At 42.3% G+C, this 21,676-nt stretch overlaps 1 protein-coding gene, 2 pseudogenes and 1 further gene across 3 annotated transcripts; all 4 read right to left on the bottom strand.

Moving 5' to 3' along the window:
• On the bottom strand, positions 6,580 to 10,550 carry PCDHB15 (protocadherin beta 15). The gene has a single exon (NM_018935.4). It carries the CDS (start codon positions 10,364 to 10,366, stop codon positions 8,003 to 8,005), a length of 2,364 nt encoding a protein of 787 aa, NP_061758.1. The 5' UTR covers positions 10,367 to 10,550; the 3' UTR covers positions 6,580 to 8,002.
• PCDHB@ (protocadherin beta cluster) overlaps positions 6,580 to 21,676 on the bottom strand; it is a 197,972-nt gene continuing 182,875 nt past the window's right edge.
• On the bottom strand, positions 11,193 to 15,824 carry PCDHB19P (protocadherin beta 19 pseudogene; annotated as a pseudogene). Its single transcript, NR_001282.2, has one exon. The product of NR_001282.2 is annotated as a protocadherin beta 19 pseudogene (transcript).
• On the bottom strand, positions 18,416 to 21,612 carry PCDHB18P (protocadherin beta 18 pseudogene; annotated as a pseudogene). The gene has a single exon (NR_001281.2). The product of NR_001281.2 is annotated as a protocadherin beta 18 pseudogene (transcript).

Genomic DNA, 21,676 nt, shown 5'->3' with positions numbered 1-21,676 from the left:
AAAAAATTGTAGATCAACATCTCTCATGAATATAGATGCACAAATTCTCAACAAAATTAGCACACTGACTTGGCTGCATGTCACCTGGAAGAAAAACTTACAAACAATTTTCCTAGACAATCATGATCACACAGGTGCTGTTCCATTCCCACTCTGCATGACTCCAGCTCATGAGATCTGCTTGGATGTCTTTGGATTCTTCCATCATTGCCCCTGCCACTCCATATTTGGAATAGGACTTGCTTCAGATTTCTTTGCTTGAATTCCAATTGTAGCCATCACTGTTACCATAGTAACATTTGAACTTGCAAGTTGGAAACAACGAACAACTGGGACAAGGGCAAAGCAAGTAACTCAGATGCAAATTTTAAGTCATTATCCCAAAACTTGGAGATAAATACTATTTGTTACAATATTGTAAAAATTAAAATTTAATGTAAACACCCATGAGAAACAAAATATGAAATTTTAAGTGAGGACAGGAACCACCCTGCCCTTGCACACATTTGCCACACTGACCTCACCCTCATCCTGTCAGATCCTATTGTCAACTTTATTGTTTCCTGATCTCACTGGGGGAAAATTTACCATGTCTACTTCACAGCTCCTTCTCCTAGGCTACTCCTTCAAGGCCAAAAAGGTCACGAAAATTCTAAATTCAATAATGTTGGGATTGTTCCATTTGCAAGAAATAACTTCCTTTCATTTGAAAATATAAACTCTTCTACAATACATTGCTAACACCAACTTTATTAAATACATTCATAGATTAAAGAAAAAATCTTAATGTGGAAAAGTTTTGGAAAAGCAATGTTATTCTGGTATTTATCTCTGCATTTTATTGCCACTGTCTACTAAAGCCACCCACCAGAGACACACACATATACAGGCACAAATGCACACACACAAATACACAAACCACTATGGGGTTTTGTGTATTTGTAGCTATAGATTTCTAAAATTGTTTGAGGCATCATCATTTATGTATCATGATAGATTTTTCTCGACTTTTTGGTGACTATGCTGATAAATGGAAGTAATGCTCTTCTCAAGGTATTCCAGATCAGTCTAAGAAAGACAAAATTATTAATCCTTTAGAGATGCCTTTAAATTCTAGACTTTACCCATAAAACATTTGTAAATTAAGATACAAAGGAAGTAGTACACATTCGGATCTCTGGGCCTGTTTCAAAACATGCATTTCTATATGTAAGAAGTTTGTCAGGAATTAATCAAATATGTTTTTTGGAAAAGGTAAGAGAAAGACCAAATCTAAAAGTAGTAGTAATGAGCTTTCTTCTCTCATTTGGTATACAACTTAATATTATCTTGAAAATGACCATCATTGCCACAAGTGACAGGGACTACTAATGATTGGGTACTAATGGTAATAACCTAGAGGAAATGGCATTTGCTGTTCTCCAGCCATTAATATTCATAATGGGGGCTGTAAATATGGTGCCAACTTCTGAAAGTCCTAGAATTCACGAGAATTTTTAATTTTTTTATGACTATGCTGATAACCAGAAGTAATGCAGTTATCAAAAGCCCCAGTCAGTTAGATAATGATTACTGCAGTCAGAAACATAGAAAGGTCAAGAACAAATTCATGTATTTAAGTCATTTTGCTATTACATCTCTTCCTTTGACATATCATTAAGGGGGCATCTAGGTGTGTAAGAAAAAATCCACTTAAAAAGATGCTAATAGCTACTGTGCTAGCTAAAATGAATGTTCTGCAGAAAATTTTGATGAAGAAATAGATGTCACAGGCCTCACTGATTTTAATTCCCATTTTAAGAGGAACCACCCTCAATTGCCACCACTCCAGATAGTCTACTTTGCCCTTCCTACTGGGCATCAGTTTTCTTTAGTGAGCTGAGCAGTATACTGAAATTCAGCATCAATGTTGAGTTGCCATTGTCACCTATGACCATTCCACAGACAAATGCCTGGATGTTCAAAGTAATTGAGCTGCCATCTATCTGTTGCCCTGATTGTGAAGTAAAATTTCTTTAATATTTGCAGACACATAAAATACAAGAATTATGAAGAAAATGTTCACTGTGATTCCCTTAATTTCTAATCATTGGTGTTGGTGAATACTGACACATGCAGATATGTGTTTGCCTCCCCTTTTCCAGGGAGTGCATATATCTCCACCCCATTGGACTCTTGTAAAACAAATGGGAGCAGTCATATTATTAAACCAAAAAACACAAATCTCCTGCTTCCTAGCCCTAGTTTGGAATTGATATCAGCCCACCAGTATTTCCAAACTTGGTACCAGAAAAGGCATGAGTCAACTTATAATAGTTATAAAATAACTTTTAGGCTCTTGAAATATAAGCGCATTTTTCTCCATGTAAAGGAAGCTGGTCTGCAGTAAAAGGGAATGAAACCAGCAGGATAGAAAAAATGGTCAAGTCCTTGTTTCTAATTGTTATGGCCCTACCTTTCAATCAGTTTTATTTCCAAACATATCCTAAATTACTTTATATACCCTAATATCTTCTCAATAAATTCTGTATTTTATCTTGAGAGCTAATTTGAATTGGGTTTCTGTTGATTAATACTAAAAGAATTTAGACTAACAGAAGTATTAATTTGGCAAAAGATCTTCCTGGTTAGTACATTTTCTGTTACTATGAATTATGAATTTCTAAAAGTCATTTTCAATGCAGAATATAAGAGATATGTAGAAGAGCATACACTTTTCAAACATGATTCTGAATGTTGATGGCAGTAGTGACAATTTGAGGAGTAACATGTAGGGACAGGCTAGTTGAGTGACACAAGATTCCTTCAAGGAGCATGCTCAGGAATATCTTTAACCTCCATTCTTTGGATCTGGAAAATGTGGAATGCCTGACTTCCCTGGCATGGATCAGACTTTTAACAATGATCAGATGAAAATTTCTGGTCAGAAAGAGAACTTGGAACAGAATTTGGTCAAAGTATTTCATATGCCTTTTTATTTCATGTCAAATGTAATATCCAAACAATGTTGAGGTATTTCCAGAACTGCCTATTTGGACATTTAAAATCTTTTGAATATTCTTAGTTCTTGGCCCGCTCATTCACATTTGAGAGCACATGACACAAGAGGGTTCCCATAGCCTCCCACAGGTAAAACTTCTGCAGTGACTTCCAGGCTACTGATTCAGCAATAGAGACAATATTCTGATTTTTTTTTATTACATTTCCCAGGATAAAGCCTGCAGGGTTTTGCCCAGATTACATTTCTGTTCATGGAGTATTCCAGTGAGGCCTCTATCTGAGTTAGATTTTCATTAAACATCACCAAAGTGAACTCTCATTGAATGCTATTTGGCTTTGCTTGGGAAAAAAGACACAAGCCTCTCCCTTAATAGATTGGAAATACGTATGAAATGAGCTTGCTATATTAGAGCCTATATTCTATCGATTTTACAGGAAAGGAATCCATTTTTACAGGAATAGGCATTGGATTAACAAAAAATATTCATTATGTTTATGTTTCCTTTGTTCTTTTGTGAAGAAAATACATCATCACAGTGTTTATCTAAGATTATAAAACCCTTAGGGGATTATCCCAAAGATAACTCATAACACTCCATTACGACTTCAAAATATCCAGAGAGACCTCTGCTAGTACCACCAAGCTTTCAACTTTTAAGGAAATCTTTTCTAAAAATTCAGCCATCAGCCAAAAGGGATAATTTTATATACATTTAAATAGTCATATTAACTAAATTGTCTAAAATTATACATAATTTCCATGTTTACAGTAATCAAACTAGAAATAGAAGTTCCATGTTGCTCTTTTAAGTAGTGGTTTGGAGGATAGTGAAGAGACACTGCAGCTTATTTTTATTATACCAAAAATATAGCTAATGGGTTTCTCAGAAAACTGTTGCTCCCATTTAAATTCATTTGTGGAAGAAATTAAAATTCTTCTCCACTTTCCAATTGTTGGAATAAGGTAGCTCCCACCTTGTGAATGCTGTCATATGACCACAACTACCTATGTATTCCAATTGCCATTTAGGAAGAAAATAAAAGCAAGGAAGGGAAATAAAGCAAGACGGTCAATGGCCTTAGATTAACATCATAAAAGGCAAGGTGAGACTTACAGAAATCTCAAAAGAAGTCTACAAAATCTGAAAGAGAAAATAGGTAAAATGAATGGCTCTGTTTATGTTGATGAGAGTCTCTATTCTGCTAGTTTCCAAAAAACTTATTTCACTGTCCTTAATTTTTTTATTCACTAAGAAACAATGAATTGTCACTCATGTTCAAAATTGTTCTAGGTGCTATGCATGACATAGAGGAGAATTGGAACTTATCCTTCAAATAGCCATAATCCACAAAAACACATGGACTGCTGATCTGCTTATGAATATTTTCAGGATCCATATTTAGTCAATTTTACTAAGTAAAATTTTTAGCCTTGCTACTTATTGCCTGTGATGGGGGCAGGGTATTCTGGATTGCTGCATAAACATCTTAGTCATCTTGCTCAGGATACCGTTAAGTCCAGATGTAAAAGCGTGCCTCGCATTTATCCGTTCACTTTCTGATTCTGTTCTCCAAAGTCAGCTTTTGAAGATGCTACTAGCCAGGAATATTTCTTGAAAATTCAGTTATTTGCATATGTTTGCCAGTTGTGAGATGATTGAATGATGGCATAAATTTAATTGCAGTAGTTCAGAGTACTGTCCCTTGATAACACCCCAGGGAAAACAATATGACTGATTCAAGACAGGCAAGGCCCCAAATTAGGGCTTATCCCAGGAGGCCTTTTGGCTTTACACATAAAAGAATTCAAGGGCAATCAGGTGTTATTAGACAGCAATCTTTTATTAAAAGGGACTGCTCCTTGCTGAGCAGGACTAACTATTTTGCAGTGCACCCAGAGTTGGCAGTAGCAGCTTATGGGTTGTTGGCAACTGTATTTATACTCACTTATACCTATTTTCACTTACATGCAAATTAAGAGGTGAGTTAATGCAAATTGAGGAGCTGGTTATTCAGAACTTTCTAGAAAAAGGGACAGTAACTTCCAGGTTGTTGCCATGGAAAAGGGCAGTAACTTCTGGGTTGCCATGACATTTGTAAATTGTCATGGGGCTGGTGGGAATCTCTTATGCTAATGAGCAGTAAGGGCAATTAGAGGTTGCCTTCAACACCAGCTGCTACTTCCTGCAGGGTTTTTCACTTCAGTTGTGCACCACCTGCTGGTTCCTGTCAATTTCTTCATTTTGTCCTGTTCTGATAGGGGAATAAGTCCTGCTGATCTCCTACCTCATTACTTCTCTGACAAATGCCTCATACATTTTAAGTAGACAACTTGGAACCTAGTCTGGCAACTGTGTAAAAAAGTAAAAGTAAAAAAAAAAAAATCACCTGCACCAATGAATGTGGCAATACATCCAGGGAAACTCCTGCTTTCAAGGCTTGGGACTAATCCTCTGTGTTTTGAGAGCTGTACTCTCTGGACTTCAGGCTCCATCCTCTGATGCATCCTTCCTTTTTCATTGGAATTGGCACATGTTTTTAGCTAAGCAGTTTTATCAGTCTATTTCTAGCTTACAGAGTTTGGGGAGGGGGGTACCACATCCTCCTTTAATTAGTTCTCTCTATCCCTTTCAATTCAAGCTGGCAGTGTTTCTGCTGATTAAACATTCTCAATAACCTTATTTCCTGTGCATTTCACAGGGATTCAATTTATTAAACAAGAGACTCCTTCGAAGTTATTTCCTGAGTAATTATGTCTATATTCCTGGCTTCTGCTGATGTGGCTGAAGATATCCATGTCATGTACCTAGTCTCTTCAAAGAGCCTTCTGTATGATTGACTACCTGATTCTTTCAACGCACTAGTAAAAGGTTGTCCTGATATGTCTGTGGCTTTCTCTCCAAAACATGCATCCTTAGCAGTGAATCTCCTGATCTTAACATCTGTTGCAGTCTGAATAGGGTGAGAATTTCCCCAACCATCAAGTCTGGGTTCCTTTTTGCTTCACAGTTCTTCTCTCAATCTAATTCCTCTCATTCTTTTCCCTCTCACATTTTACTATAAGCAGCAAGAAAAAAACAGGCTGTACATTTAACCCTTTGCCTGAAAATCTCAGTGAAATCTCCCAAGTTCATTGCTTAAAAATTCTTTCTACATAACTACAGGACACAATTCAGCTAATTTTTCTTCCACCATATAAAAGGATTCCCTTTTCTTCAGTTTCCAATAATATTTTCCTCATTTCTGCACCCTCACCAGCAGAGACTTTAACATCCATATTTCTACTCACAATCTATTTAAAGTGATGTGGTATTCTCTAAGGCAACATGTTTCTCCAACATGCTCCTCACTTCATTCTGAGTCCTTACTAGCAGATTTGTTAACACCATATTTCTGCTAACACTCTGTCCAAAGCAAGCGAGGCTTTTTCTGTCATGCCTGTCAAAGTTCTTCCAGCCTCTGCCCACTGTCCAATTCAGAAGCCATCTGCACATTTTAAGTGTTTATTACAGTAGCACCCCACTTCCAGGTATCAAAATCTGTGTTAGTTGGAGTTCAGCCAGAGAAACAGGCAGCAGATGTGTAGTAATCAATTTATTGCAAGGAAGTGACTTACTCAGTTTTGAAACGTGGCTGGACAAGTCCAAAATCTGTACAGCAGGCAGTTAGGAGGGGCAGGCTGGAATTCTGGGGCATAAGCTGAAGCTGCTGTCCTTAAACAAAATTTATTTTCATCTCACGGAAGACTCAACTCTGCTTTTATGGCCTTTCCACTGATTGAAATAGACCCACCCAGATTATCTAGGAGAGTCTCCCTATTTTAAGTTTAGCTGATTGGCAACCTTAATTCTGTTTGAACCTTAATTTCTTTGCAATATAACATATTCATAGGTTCTGGGGATTAGGGCAGGAACATCTTGGCGGTCATTATTTTGCATGCAATACCATTCTAGAGTATCTGCAAAGTTGAGAAGCTCCTGGAGACAGAAAAGTCCTGACAAGAGAGCAGATGTTTTTTCCTCAAATAATTCAACTCCTTCACCAACATATCCTTTAATAAATTTTGTTTGGTTAACTAATATTAATTCTACAATGTATTTTCTTTCAAATTCCTTATGAATCAGAACAATGTTGCCATCCAAAACAAGTAGATGTTGGCATACTGTACCATCAGAAGCTCCTCTAAGCCCAGAATTTGGAACTCGTTAAGATTTTCCTGCTGTGAAAAGAGGAAATTGCAGGAGATGCATTACTTGGTCCTAGTGTCTATTGGCCTTATACGAACACCTTAAACACAGTAAATCTGGGTATTAGAAAGCCTGTCCAGTCCCCCCAATAGGATCATAACATTAGATAGAGATAAGGAAGAACCCATTAGTCTTTTCTATGTTAATTTACATGAGACAGAATACATTACGCAGATATATTTTTATGAGATGACATATGTGTTTTAGAATGAAAATCTAATGCTTACAAGTGTGACCTTGAAAAGAGTAGCTTAAACTTATCCATGTTGCTCCTTATTGGAAAAAACAAAACTCCAAATATGAAGCTTGGAAGAAATTACACATGGATAAATATGAAATGATTACACCCCAAACTTTTGTCAAAAAGTCAAGCTGTGTGAATAAGAAAAACTATAAAAAAAACTTAAAATATGACTTCAAAAATCATACATTCTTATGTAGTGTCATATAGTGTGAAAGGTAATTTCAGAATTAGAGTTATGTTTATTAGGTGGGGTTAACTTTCATATCACCCTTCAGGAATGAATACTATTAATTTATTCAGAAATATGAACTTTCCTGATATAAAATATTTATAATAATACAATAATTTGAAAACTAACAATCAGACAAAGGAAATGAGTAACATTACTAAAGACAACAGTAGAAATTTAAAAAAAAGTAGAATTCAAGATTACTAAAGGGTTAAAAAAAACTAAGGTGAAAAGTGAGGAAGACAAAATTAACAGACGGTCGGAAAGCTACAGATACCTACATTATTCTAGAAATTCTGATTTCCTCCTAGAGTCCTGGCTTACAATATTTGGGAATATAGGCTTCAAGAACTTGAAATCATTACTTTCAGAGCCTCCCGTCAGACACACCTCGTACTGGTAGCTCTGGGAAAGGGTCCCGGTGCCGCTCACGTCCACCAGATGCCCTGGAAAGGGGCCCTCGGGCACCGAGCAGCGACCCACTGAGGCCGCCCTGCTCCTCCTGCACAGCCGCACTGCCACGAACAGGAACACCGAGAAGAGGAAGAGCGAAGACACCGAGGCCAATGCCACCACCAGGTAGACGGTAAGCGAGTCGGCCTGGGCTTGGGCCGGGGCCGCCTCTGGGAGCGGCAGGTAGGGCTGAGAGAAGCCGTCCACCAGGAGCACTTGCAGCGTGGCGGTGGCCGAGCGCGGAGGCTCGCCATTGTCCTTGACCAGCACCACTAGCCTGTGCTTGGCCACGTCGCGCTCGCTCAGCAGCCTGGCGGTGCGCACCTCGCCATTGTGCGCCCACACGCCGAACAGCCCGGGCTCCGTGGCCTTGAGCAGCTGGTACGACAGCCAGGCGTTCTGGCCCGAGTCGCCGTCCACCGCCACCACCTTGGTCACCAGGTAGCCCGGCTCGGCCGCCCGGGGCACCAGCTCGGTGCAGGGCGCGGAGCCGTTCTGCAGCGGGTACAGCACGAAGGGCGAGTTGTCGTTGGCGTCCAGCACCAGCACTCGCACCAGCGCCTCGCTGCTCAGCGCCGGGAAGCCGCGGTCTGTGGCGCCCACGCGGAACTCGAAAGCCTGCAGGGCCTCGTAGTCCAGCGACTGGAGAGCGAACAGGTGGCCGTTGTCCGTGTTAATGGAGACCAGGGAGGTGAGGGGCAGGTGCGGGTCCCGGGGCGGCAGCAGCGAGTAGGTGACCTGGGCGTTGGTGCCCGAGTCTCTGTCTGTGGCGCTGACACTGCCGATGTGCAGGGCGGGGCTGTTGTTCTCGCGGACGAACAGGGTGTAGGAGGTTTGGGTGAAGGCGGGGGCGTTGTCATTGACGTCCGACACCAGCACGGTTATGCTCTGCTCGGTTTTCAGCCTTGGAGTCCCCAAGTCTGTGATGGTGATGGTGATGTTGTACTCGGCTCTGGTCTCTCTGTCCAGCGCCCCTTCTGTTACCAGCCTGTAGAAATTCTCAACAGAAGGTTTTAGCTTAAAAGGAACATCATCCTGAATTGAGCAAATCATTTTTCCATTTTCCCCAGAGTCTCGGTCTCTAATCCTAAACAGGGCCACTTCTGTCTCTGGAGAATTCTCGGGAATAGGGCTGGTAAGTGATGAAATACTTAGTTCCGGGAAGTTATCGTTAACATCCAGCACCTTAACAGAGACAGAGCATTTTCCAGAAAGTCCCCCGCCATCAGATGCCTCTATATCTAGATCATACGAAGACATTGTCTCAAAATCTAGTTTTTTAATTAGTCGAATTTCTCCTGAAAGGCTGCTTAGCTCAAAAGGTTTGTCTATCTCCTGAGAGCTGTAATAAAGGGAGTATGATATCTCTCCATTTGTCCCAGTGTCTAAATCCCTAGCAGAGACCTTGACAACTAGGGAGCCTACTGGGCTGTTCTCTGGGACCTGCACCTCGTAGAGCGCCTGCACAAACTCCGGGGCATTGTCATTGGCGTCCAAGACCAAGATGAGGATCTGGACGGTGCCAGATCGGGGTGGAGAGCCACCGTCCACCGCTGTCAAGGTTAATCTGAGCTCGGCCTGCTCCTCGCGATCCAGTTCTGTGTCCAGCACCAGCTCTGGGTATTTCCTGCCATCCCCTCGGGTGCGAGTGGAAACATGGAAATGAGAATTGGGAGAAATATTGTAGTTTTGAACATTATTGCTGCCCACGTCCAAGTCCCGAGCTTTTTTCAGAGGAAACACAGTCCCAAGGGAGCTAGTTTCTGGGATTTTCAGGGTCATTTCTCTTTCAGGAAACTCAGGAGAATGATCGTTTATGTCTGTCACTAGTAGTTCAGCTCGAAATACTTCCAAAGGTTTTTTCAGTAACACTTGGAAATGCATTATACAGGGCTCAGTAGGGCCACACAGCTTCTCCCGGTCCAGCTTCTCATTTAATATCAACTGCCCGGTCTGCAGATCAAGCTGCAAGCCTTGTTCGTTATCCTCAGAAACTACCCGGGCTCCCCGCTCGGCTAGCTCCCCCACTCCCAGCCCTAGGTCATTGGCCAGGTTGGCTACAAAAGAACCTCTCTCTGTTTCCTCCATCACAGAATAGCGACGGGGTTCCCAGCCTGCCAGAGTCACTTCCAGTAAAAGAAGGAGAATCAGGACTTGCCTTTGTTCGGGAAAGCGCTCCCCTGCAGGCTCCATCTTTACTTCTGTACACGCCCCTTTCAAGGAACCGGAGTCAGAGCTACTTCAGGGAGCGATGGGACAGAGGCAGTGATCGATCTGTGCGTTGATAACCTGTTCGGAAATGTAGGAGAATAGCATTCTCCGGAGACACTGGTCCGTGCTCTGCTAACAGGCTTTCCTCTTAGGCTGAAAGAGGTCTGAAGTAGCTAGTAGCATTTCATGGGCTTTTTCCTTTTCCTTTTTTTGAAGCCTTAGCCTGCAGCGCCACCATGCGTTGTCTTTGCTTCGAAACGAATTGCTACAATTGATCTATTCTCTATTCTATTAGGAGTTTGGAAATTGGGAGGAAATGATGTAATCACAATATCACGCAATGGTAATTATTAATTTCTTCATTTAAAGGAGTATTATTGGTCTCTATGTGCCAAATTATGAAATACATCAGTAAACAACCCAGACATGGTCCCCACCCTCCAGAGCCTGTAGTCTGGGTGTAGTGTTCTGAGGGAAATTGAGAAGTGAAAGAAGACATAATAGTGATCAGTCATCTTGTAATAATAATAACATAAAGCCACGTGATTTCTTAAAAATTTATCAGCAAAACAAAATGAATTCTTTAATTTCTTTCAAATTCTAGACAGCCTATGTACCAGAATTGTGCTCCCATTGGTTGGATTACATCAAGAAAAAGCTACACGTTAATTCCAGTGTGGTATCCTTTCTACATAAAGTCAGAGAGTTATGATTTTATGAAAATTTTAAACTGTGGAAAAATACATATGAAGGCACTTCCTATATCTCTTACTTTGCTTTTTCTTTTTTTTCTTTTCATTTTTCCTTTTTTTTTTTTTGAGATGGGGTCTTGCTCTGTTGTCCAGGAGGGAGTGCAGTGGCACAATCACTGCTCATTGCAGCCTTGACTACCCAGGCTCAAGCAATCCCCCCACCTCAGCAACTGTAGCTGGGACCACAGTTGCGCATCACCATGCCTGGCTAATGTTTTAATTATTTGTAAAGATGAGGTCTTGCTATGTTGCCCGGGCTGGTCTCAAATTTCCGAGCTCAAGCAATCCTCCTGCCTCAGCCTCCCAAAGTGCTGGGGTTATAGGCATGAGCTGCTGTACCCAGCCCTGCCTTGTCTCTCTCGTATTTATTATCTGACGTAGTATAGATGTACTTATTTAGTTGTTTCCTTTCTGTTTCAACCTCACATGTTAGAACTTCATTTTGTTCACTGCTGCATCCCCAATATCTAAAATAATCCCTGGCACATGGTACGTGCTCAATAAATATTTGTTAAATGGATCCATTAATAAATCACAATTAATTTAAACATTCTGACAGATAGGTTCTCCTCCTACTGTAGAAATTCCCTCTTCTTCTGGGATTCAAGTTCATTATATAAGATGGATAAACAAAGACAACATGTTCATAAGGTAGCTATTTCCTATGCCCTTTAAATAGTAATGTGAAATAACTCAGAATGACCTAAAATGTCATTTCATTAAGTGGCAAAACAACTTAGCTACCCATAAGCAAGGGATATATTATATGACAGAAAGAAAGAACATAACAAGATTATGATGACCCTAAAGATAAGGATTATGTCTCTTTTAGACACACATTTTTCATTGTCAAGGTTTTTTTTTTACAGTAATGTTATTATGACACTTACGATATTCAAAACTCTTATATAATAAAATGTTCTAAGAATTTCTATTAAACACTTCAAAGACTGTACCATTGGAAAGATCCTTCAGTTTTTCTCAAAATTGTATATTCTGACAAAAGCTAGTGCATGTCCCTTATAGACTACTAATATTTTACAACCTCCTTGATCCCAAATGTTGTCATACTAATATGAAAAGCCACAATAAAAACCCAATAGGAAGAAAGGTCTAACTTACCAACAATGCAGGAATATCTAAACATGCTTTTGACAACAAAAACCTCACTTAGATCTCTTAATTAGAGGGAAATTTATTAAAGAGCACAAATTTGTCTCCAGCAACCTAAGGGAAAAAGACTTGGGAGGGACTGGAAAATCTAAAACAGGAAAATCTATGACAAGGTCATTCTTTTGGTACCTTATTTTTTCTTGTCTCTCAATAGATTGATGTTCTGTATTTCTTTGCAAGTGTTTAGCCAAATATGACACCACTTTCTGCTTATGTTCCTAACAAAGAGACTATGTTGTATCTGGTTCTTAAAGCCATTTTTTTTTAAACAGAGAGAATCAGATTAGGCCAGCTAGGATCATCTTATTTTTGTGTTTGAAATCACAGAGGGAGGTGGGTCATATAAAATAAATGTGGCTGCAACATTACACTTCAGCCAAAGACAGGGAGAATTTTCCAGAAAAAGATCAGGTGGGCTAGATAGACGCTACAAAAGGGAGCTATGATTTTAAAATCTTGAGATAATCTAATAATCACTAAAGATGCTCGTATGGCCGGGCAAGGTGGCTCACACCTGTAATGCCACACTTTGGGAGGCAGAGGCGAGTGTATCACCTGAGGTCAGGAGTTTGAGACCAGCCAAACTCCTGACCTCAGGAGCCAGTTTGAGTTTGGCCAACATGGTGAAACCCTATCTCTACTAAAACAAGGAGCCTGTAATCCCAGCTACTCGGGAGGCTGAGGCAGGAGAATCGCTTGAACCGGGGAGGCGAGGTTGCAGTGAGCCCAGATCGCGCCATTGCACTCCAGCCTGGGCGACAAGAGTGAAACTCTGACTCAATAATAGTAATAATAATGCTCATATATGTTATGGAGTGAAGGTTATAAAAAGAGCAGAAAAGTCTTTAAGTTTGGGGAAAAATGTAGTCTTTCCCACTTCAAGCTATTGTGAAATAAAACGATGCAATTTTTGCAGACGCTTCTCCATTTAAAAATTCAAGACAGGTAAGCATAAGACAGAATCAATAGAATATGTACTAATAATCACTATATCATCGTTCCTGTCTTCTAAGCATCAAAAGTTTAGAAAAGCTTTCTTTAATGAAACGGAATGGAGCTGGAGTCTTCAAGTCAACAGCCTGTGATTTTGAAAAGTTGATAAATTGAACAAATATTACTTTTCATTAATGAGTAAACCTGAAAGTTGTATTCATCAAAATGGACATGATAAAAGGAGACCAAGTATGAACAAATAATCAAAGAAAATGTCTAATCTTAAGTAGGAAAATGAAATCAGCAAAAATCTTAGAAAATCCATATAGCACAAAAAACATAACAGAGACTTAATATATTGATAAAGGACTAACCTTTATCCTAAATGCTCTGAAAAATCTACAGATTCTTAATTGAATCCAAAACCATTTACAAAGTTGGACTTTTCCTCCCATCATTCACAGCGCCCGGATGCTTAGGGATAACAGACTTCAGGAATTTGAATTCATTTGTCCCGGAGCCTCGCGTCAGAAACACTTCATACTTGTACCTCTGGGATAGGGTCCTGGTGTCGCTCACGTCCACCAGATGCCTGGAAAGGGGTCCTCGGGCACCGAGCAGCGACCCAATGAGGCCTCCCTGCTCCTCCTGCACAGCCGCACCGCCACGAACAGGAGCACCGAGAAGAGGAAGAACGACGACACCAAGGCCAACGCCACCACCAGGTAGACGGTGAGCAAGTCGGCCTGGGCCTGGGCCGGGGCCGCTTCAGGGAACGGCAAGTAGGGCAGGGAGAAGCCATCCACCAGGAGCACGTGCAGCGTGGCGGTGGCCGAGCGCGGAGGCTCGCCATTGTCCTTGACCAGGACCATCAGCCTGTGCTTGGCTGTGTCACGCTCGCTCAGCAGCCTGTCAGTGCATTGTGCGCCCACACGCCGAACAGCCCTGGCTCCGTGGCCTTGAGCAACTGCTACGACAGCCAGGCGTTCTGGCCCGAGTCACCGTCCACCGCCACCACCTTGGTCACCAGGTAGCCCGGCTCGGCGGCCCGCCCGGGGCATCAGCTCGGTGCAGGGCGCGGAGCCGTTCTGCAGCGGGAACAGCACGAAGAGTGAGCTGTCGTTGGCGTCCAGCACCAGCACGCGCACCAGCGCCTCGCTGCTCAGCGCCGTGGAGCCGCGGTCTGAAGCGCCCACGCGGAACTCGAACTCCTGCAGGGCCTCGTAGTCCAGCGACCTGAGGGCGAACAGGTGGCCGTTGTCTGTGTTGATGGAGACCAGGGAGGCGAGGGGCAGGTGCGGGTTCCGGGGCGGCAGCAGCGAGTAGGTGACCTGGATGTTGGTGCCCGAGTCTCTGCGGTGCTGACGCTGCCAATATGCAGGGCGGGGCTGTTGTTCTCGCGGACGAACAGGGTGTAGGAGGTTTAGGTGAAGGTGGGGGCTTTGTCATTGACGTAGGAGACCAGCACCGTTATGTTGTACTCGGTTTTCAGCCTAGGAGTCCCCAAGTCCGTGGCTGTGTTGGTGATGTTGTACTCGGCTCTAATCTCTTTGTCCAGTGGTCCTTCTGTTAACAGCCAGTATAAATTCTCAACGGAAGGTTTCGGCATGAACGGAACATCATTTTGAATTGATCAAACTATTCTTCCATTTTTCCCAGAATCGCGGTCTTGAATGCTGAAAAGAGCTGCAACGGTCTCAGGAGAATTTTCGCGGATGGGGCTTGTGAATGAAGCCATGGTCAGTTCCGGAGCGTTATCGTTGATATCTACCACCTGTATTATGACAGTGCATTTTCCAGAAAGACCTGCCCCATCAGAGGCTTTAATATCCACCTGATATGACACAATTTTTTCAAAATCTAGTTTTCTGATTATTTTAATTTCTCCCCTTCGTTCATTAAGTGCAAATGTCTTAGAAATCTCTTCATCACCATAAAAAATGAGTAGAATATCTCACCATTAATTCCCATGTCTGAATCTCTAGCGGAAACAGTGGCAACAAGGGAATCCAGGGGGCTGTTTTCTGATATCTGCACCTGATAGAGTGGCTACACAAACTCAGGTGCATTGTCATTGATGTCCAAGATTTCAATGAGGACCAGAGCAGTCCCAGTTCTGGGAGGAGTCCCGCCATCTACTGCCATGAGAGTTAACCTGATCTCAGCCTGCTCCTCCCGATCCAGGGCTTTGTCCAGAACCAGCTCTGGGTATTTTCTGCCTTCACTGCCATTTTGGGTGAGAGCGTGGACATGGGAGTAGGGGTAGATGGTGTAGTTTTGGATGTTATTGATGGCCACATCCAAATCTTGTGTATTTTTCAGAGGAAACACAGTTCCTGGAGGAGTATTTTCCATGATTTCAAAATAATTTCTGCTTCTGGGAATACAGGGGAATTGTGTTTATGTCACTGACCAAAAGTTTAAACCTCCAAAGGTTCTTCCAGTAACACTTGGAATTGCAGCACACAAGGCTCAGTGATTCTACACAATTCTTCCCGGTCCAATGTCTCATTTACTTGCAGGTCTCCGGTCTGAAGTTTCAGCTGAAAATATTTTTTGTTATTGTTAAAAATGACCCGAGGCCTCCACTGGTATATTACTCTTACTTCTAGCCCTGGGTCCTTTGTTAGATTGGCCACAAAAGAACCACTTTCTGTTTCTTCTGCTACAGTATATTCCACTCCGCACAGTATATTCCACTCCGCACAAGTCTGAGACAGCATAACAAAGAGAAGCAGCACTTGCCTTATTCTAGGAAAGTGCTCCTTTTCAGCCTCCATTTCTCCAACACCAACAGCATTCAGGGTCCGGATGCCTATGTTGCGTTGGTAGGCAATCTGCTCTGGGAATCAATCCTTGCAGCAACGCAATTTTCGGTTAAGAAAGCCTCTTCTCTTTGATGGATCGAATGAGTGCTAGCACAGTAGTTGAAGAGATTCATTCTAACATTTCAGGAGTGTAAACTTAAGTGATATACTAGCTAAATCTGGTTTATTATGCAAACTCAATAGGTAGCCTAAGAGTTGTGGATAACTTATTTGTGAATATTGCCTAAGGACTGTGAGCTTGTTATGTTGACTTGTTACAGTATCTAAAATAATTTATAAAGAGCATCACCATCTATTGTTAATACTGAGATACACACATGTTGAAGCTGAGAGTCACTGAGACCTTGAAGAGGGAGCCAGCCAAGATCATGGATATAAAGGCTGAAGTTAAAGTAAAAAGTAAAATGCAGAAGAAAATATGTTAAGTTCACCTGAAATAGCAGGTTAAGCATATTCCCAACTGGAGAAGATCTCAACTCATTTTTAGTAAGCAATTATGTATCTCTTGTGGATTCATTGGAATACTGAAACCCTAGCATGGAACTGAAATTTTTACTTCTGAGGAAAGAGAAAACATTTTGGGGGAGGAGACTTGGGGGTCTTCCCAACTGTGCCAACTTTAGCCAATGTTTTACTCACAATGTTTAAATAATAGACACTATTATGTGTTGTGGCATTCTAATTATCTAGCTAACTGAGAAAACTAAGGATGAGCCAAGTGTAAGAACTGTGGTTCATATTGGTTTCTCTTAAGGCATAAATAACTCAAATCAACATTCTACTTTAGAATGTTTTCTTCTATACAAACAAGTTCGATTAATTAAACTTTCAAAATATGCCAGTCATGGGCAAAATCTGATGGACAAATTTCCTTATAGAAATATTTTGGTCATGGGTCCAAATTCACTATTATGGATTTACATGTCCAAGAAAATGTGTCCTGAATGTCTATGCATTTTTTAATATTAATGGGATAGAAGCTTGTACCTATGTCAGTAACCCAATGAATCAAAGTTAGTTTTTCATTCCCATCTTTCATCTCTTGGAAAAAGTTTCCTCTTTCTAAGATCTTAGCTCCTAGGCTTGGAAGAAACTTAAATTTCTTTCGTGAGGCTTTCTAGCAATAGAGGATATTAATTAAATATTTATTACTATAACTGAAATCATGAATCAATCCATATGATCGATAAATTGGGATTATTTATGGAGCAAGAATATTTTACATTACATGACAAAAATAATTTTGTTCACACTGAGCTTAGCAAGTAATTTTTAAAAGAACGAGTCTGCTAAGGAGGGTATGATGATCCTGAGAAAAGGTACAGACACCCAAAACTTACAATTTCAGTGTTATTATTATTTTTTAAACAAAAAGTATTATTTAAAAAGTAATCATGGGACATATAAAATAATGGAGGTAAAGTTAATGAGACATTTCATAAAGCCCTTTGTAGCATTTATCTGTTGAAAGACCTCATAAATTATTTACAAATTTAAATTTTGTTACATAAGCCTCTAGTATAGATTTGTTATCTCTAGGCTTGTACATCCTGTATTTCATTCATTAAGTTAATATTAGAAGCATGCAATAAAAGACCAGGGTTTCATGGTAGATAGTCTAATTGAGTACTCAAGGTTGTACATACCTTTCAAGTCTCTTTTGATTTCAAGACATCCCCCTTCAAGATAGGTTAAACAAAGGAATTTTACTATTACCAATGGAGTCTTACTGTAGAACCCAAGGGCAATTAGACATTGGAGACTTAGGAGGAACTGTACTTAGGTGGACAGGTCTAGAACTAAGTAGCTGTTTTAGTCTCTACTGTTTTCTAGGCTTCTGCCTCCTCCACTCTTATTCCTTTTCACTTTTACTCTTTCCTTCCATTTTCTCTCCCTCTTTTTCTCTCTATCTAGAAACTTATAAACATGGCTACCTCAGCCCACGTTCAACACTTATTCAAGAGGAAAAAGTAGATGAACTATATCTCAATCACAAATTTAGGGGTTTGGAGAATGTAGCTATTCCAGCTTAAATCAGGAATCTATCACAGGACCAATAAAAAATGATCAGGGCTCATGCCTGTAATCCCAACAACTTGGGAAGCTGATGCGGTACGATCACTGGAGGCCAGGAGTTCAAGACTAGCCCGTGTGACATGGCAAGACCTCATCTCTTAAAAAACGAAAAAAACAAACGGTGTGTGTGTGTGTGTGTGTGTGTGTGTGTGTGTGTGTGTATGTAAGAAAAGAAGGCCTGCAATGGAATAAGCATCACACTAGTGATCACCTCTCTTAGGTAGTATAGAGAAGTTCTCAGACAAGAAATGAGCATGAGCTGGATATATACATCTTAATCCAAACAAGGTTTTGAATTTATTTAAATAAAACAACTTCTACTAGCATATATATGGTTCACAAATAATTATGGAAAAAAAACCCTAAGTACAGGAAAAATTCTCTGCAATGTTTGCCAGAAAAGTAGAATGAAAAGATTATAGGTTTTTAAGAAAGAAACCTAAATTAGATAACATCTCAGAAACCAACCTAACCAGATAACAAGCAATTATGTTTTTATTCATATCATGCATTTACCTCTATAATAATATTCTCAATTATATAAAAACTGCTTTGGATAGAGGATCCACAGTCAGAACACTCAGAAAATATGAATGAGCCCAGTGTGCGATTAAACTTGAAGGGAAAATAATGTGTTTGTGAATATATTATTTGAGGTTGTATTTCAAAACAATGACTAAGCAAATTCCGGCTCTCAATTTTTTCACGGTTAAAACAACAAAAAATAGACTTAAATTCTTGTAACTTCTGAAAACTCTTGAGTAAAATGCAGTTACCCAAAATGAAAAACTCTGCATAACAATGAATAAGATTTCAAAGAAATAGACTCATTCTAAAAGTTCTGCATCATAATCAGATCCCTAATTGCATTCCACGCCATTCAGAAAGGTGGGGCTTTCTCCATTTCGCTGTCGCGGGACAGGAGATTGGGAATCACCGGCTTCAGGAACTTGAACTCATTTGCCCCTGAGCCTCCCGTCAGACACACCTCGTACTGGTAGCTCTGGGATAGGGTCCCGGTGCCGCTCACGTCTACCAGATGCCCTGGAAAGGGACACTCGGGCACCGAGCAGCGACCCATCGAGGCCGCCCTGCTCCTCCTGCACAGCCGCACCGCCACGAACAGGAACACCGAGAAGAGGAAGAGCGACGACACCGAGGCCAACGCCACCACCAGGTAGACGGTGAGGGAGTCGGCCTGGGCCTGGGAGGGGGCAGCCTCCGTGAGAGGCAGGTAGGGCTGAGAGAAGCCCTCCACCAGGAGCACGTGCAGCGTGGCGGTGGCCGAGCGCGGAGGCTCGCCATTGTCCTTGACCAGCACCACCAGCCTGTGCTTGGCCGCGTCGCGCTCGCTCAGCAGCCTGGCGGTGCGCCCCTCGCCATTGTGCGCCCACACGCCGAACAGCCCGGGCTCCGTGGCCTTGAGCAGCTGGTACGACAGCCAGGCGTTCTGGCCCGAGTCGCCGTCCACCGCCACCACCTTGGTCACCAGGTAGCCCGGCTCGGCCGCCCGAGGTACCAGCTCGGTGCAGGGCGCCGAGCCGTTCTGCAGCGGGTACAGCACGAAGGGCGAGTTGTCGTTGGCGTCCAGCACCAGCACGCGCACCAGCACCTCGCTGCTCAGCGCCGGGGAGCCGTGGTCTGCGGCGCCCACGCGAAACCCGAACTCCTGCAGGGCCTCGTAGTCCAAAGACCTGAGGGCGAATAGGTGGCCGTTGTCCGCGTTGATGGAGACCAGGGAGGTGAGGGGCAGGTGCGGGTCCTGGGGCGGCAGCAGCGAGTAGGTGACCTGGGCGTTGGTGCCTGAGTCTCTGTCTGTAGCGCTGACGCTGCCGATGTGCAGGGCGGGGCTGTTGTTCTCGCGGACGAACAGGGTGTAGGAGGTTTGGGTGAAGATGGGGGCGTTGTCATTGACGTCGGAGACCAGCACGGTTATGTTGTGCTCGGTTTTCAGCCTGGGTGTCCCCAAGTCGGTCACGGTGATGGTGATGTTATATTCATTTCTGACCTCTCTGTCCAGTGGGTGCTCTGTTACCAGAGCGTAAAAATTCTTGAAGGTAGGCTTCAAGACAAAGGGGAGGTTGTCCTGAATTGAGCAAACTGTTCTCCCATTGTCTCCAGCGTCTTGGTCTCGTATGCTGAAAACAGCGACCACCATCTCAGGTGAAGAGTTTTCCGGTATGGGGCTGGTAAGAGATGTCATGGCTATTTCTGGCGGGTTGTCATTCACATCTACAACCCGAACTAAAATGCTTGATTTTCCAGAAAGGCTCCCACCTTCAATGGCCTGAATATTTATGATATAAGATTGAATAATCTCGAAATCTAGAGGGGCTTTTAAATAGACTTCGCCAGAAATTGGATGGATTTCAAATGTTTTCCGTACATCTCTGGAGACGTGGGAAAATGAATAAGACAGTTCTCCATTTATTCCTGCATCTAAATCTGTAGCAGACGCTTTGATGATCAAGGAGTCCAGAGGGCTGCTCTCAGGTACAAGAACTTCATAGACTGGCTTCTCAAATTCAGGGGCATTGTCACTGATGTCCAGGACCACAACGTTAATCAGTGTAGTCCCAGACCTGGGCGGAGACCCGCCATCCACGGCTGTTAGCGTTAAACTAAACTCAGACACCTTTTCTCGATCCAGGGATTGGTCCAGTACCAACTCTGGATATTTTCTGCCCTCATCGCTATCCCGTAATTTAAGGTGGAAATGGGGATTGGGACTTATTGTATAGTTTTGAACACCATTCTTTCCCACATCCAAGTCCTGCGCACTATCTATTTGGAATAAGGTTCCTAGAGTAGCACCTTCGGAGATTTTTAGAAGCATATGATTGTTTAGGAACGTGGGAGTGTGATCATTTATGTCTTTGACCAAAAGCTCAGCACGAAAAAATTGCAACGGATTTTCAAATAACACCTGGAAATGCAATATACATGGCTCTGTGAGATCACAAAGTGCCTCCCGGTCCAGCTGCTCGTTTAAGAGCAAGTCGCCATTCTGTGGATCCAATCGCAAATAAGGTTTATAGTCGTCAAAGATGACTCTGGCCCCCCCTTGCAGCCAGGTCTTCCACATCCAAACCCATGTCTTTCACCACGTTGGCTATAAAGGTACCGACCTCCATTTCCTCTGCTATGGAATAGCTCCCGGTCTCAGAACACACCAAAGACCCTCCCAGGAAAACAAAGAAAAGCAGCACTTGCCTTGTCCGCTGAGCTCTTCCCTTTCCCGGCTCCATAGCTCCTTAGCCAAACGTCTTTCTGGCGTAAACGTTTCAACTCAGTCTCTAGCAGCTCTTAAAGTTGCTCCTCTCACCTATCAGCCTGGACCTTTGGGAATCTAGAAACTCTTAATCCTGTCGCGAAGGTGTTGATGGTGCCCTACCTTTTGAAAGACTATTTTCTCCTGGTATTCCAGCGCTTTCAGTTCCCATGGTTAAGGAAAACCAGAGCATCTGCGGTTACAAAAATTTCACCGTCTTATCCTGCAGCGCCACCATGCGACTCTGCAGATATTCAGG

This window comes from Homo sapiens, chromosome 5, assembly GCF_000001405.40.
Source record: "Homo sapiens chromosome 5, GRCh38.p14 Primary Assembly".
Classification (NCBI taxonomy): domain Eukaryota; kingdom Metazoa; phylum Chordata; class Mammalia; order Primates; family Hominidae; genus Homo; species Homo sapiens.
This window is presented reverse-complemented; position numbering and strand designations above follow the sequence as displayed.

What these genes read in the sequence shown, in the direction of transcription:
- PCDHB15 (NM_018935.4), bottom strand. Translation starts at nt 10,366, where the DNA reads ATGGAGCCTGCAGGGGAGCGCTTTCCCGAACAAAGGCAAGTCCTGATT.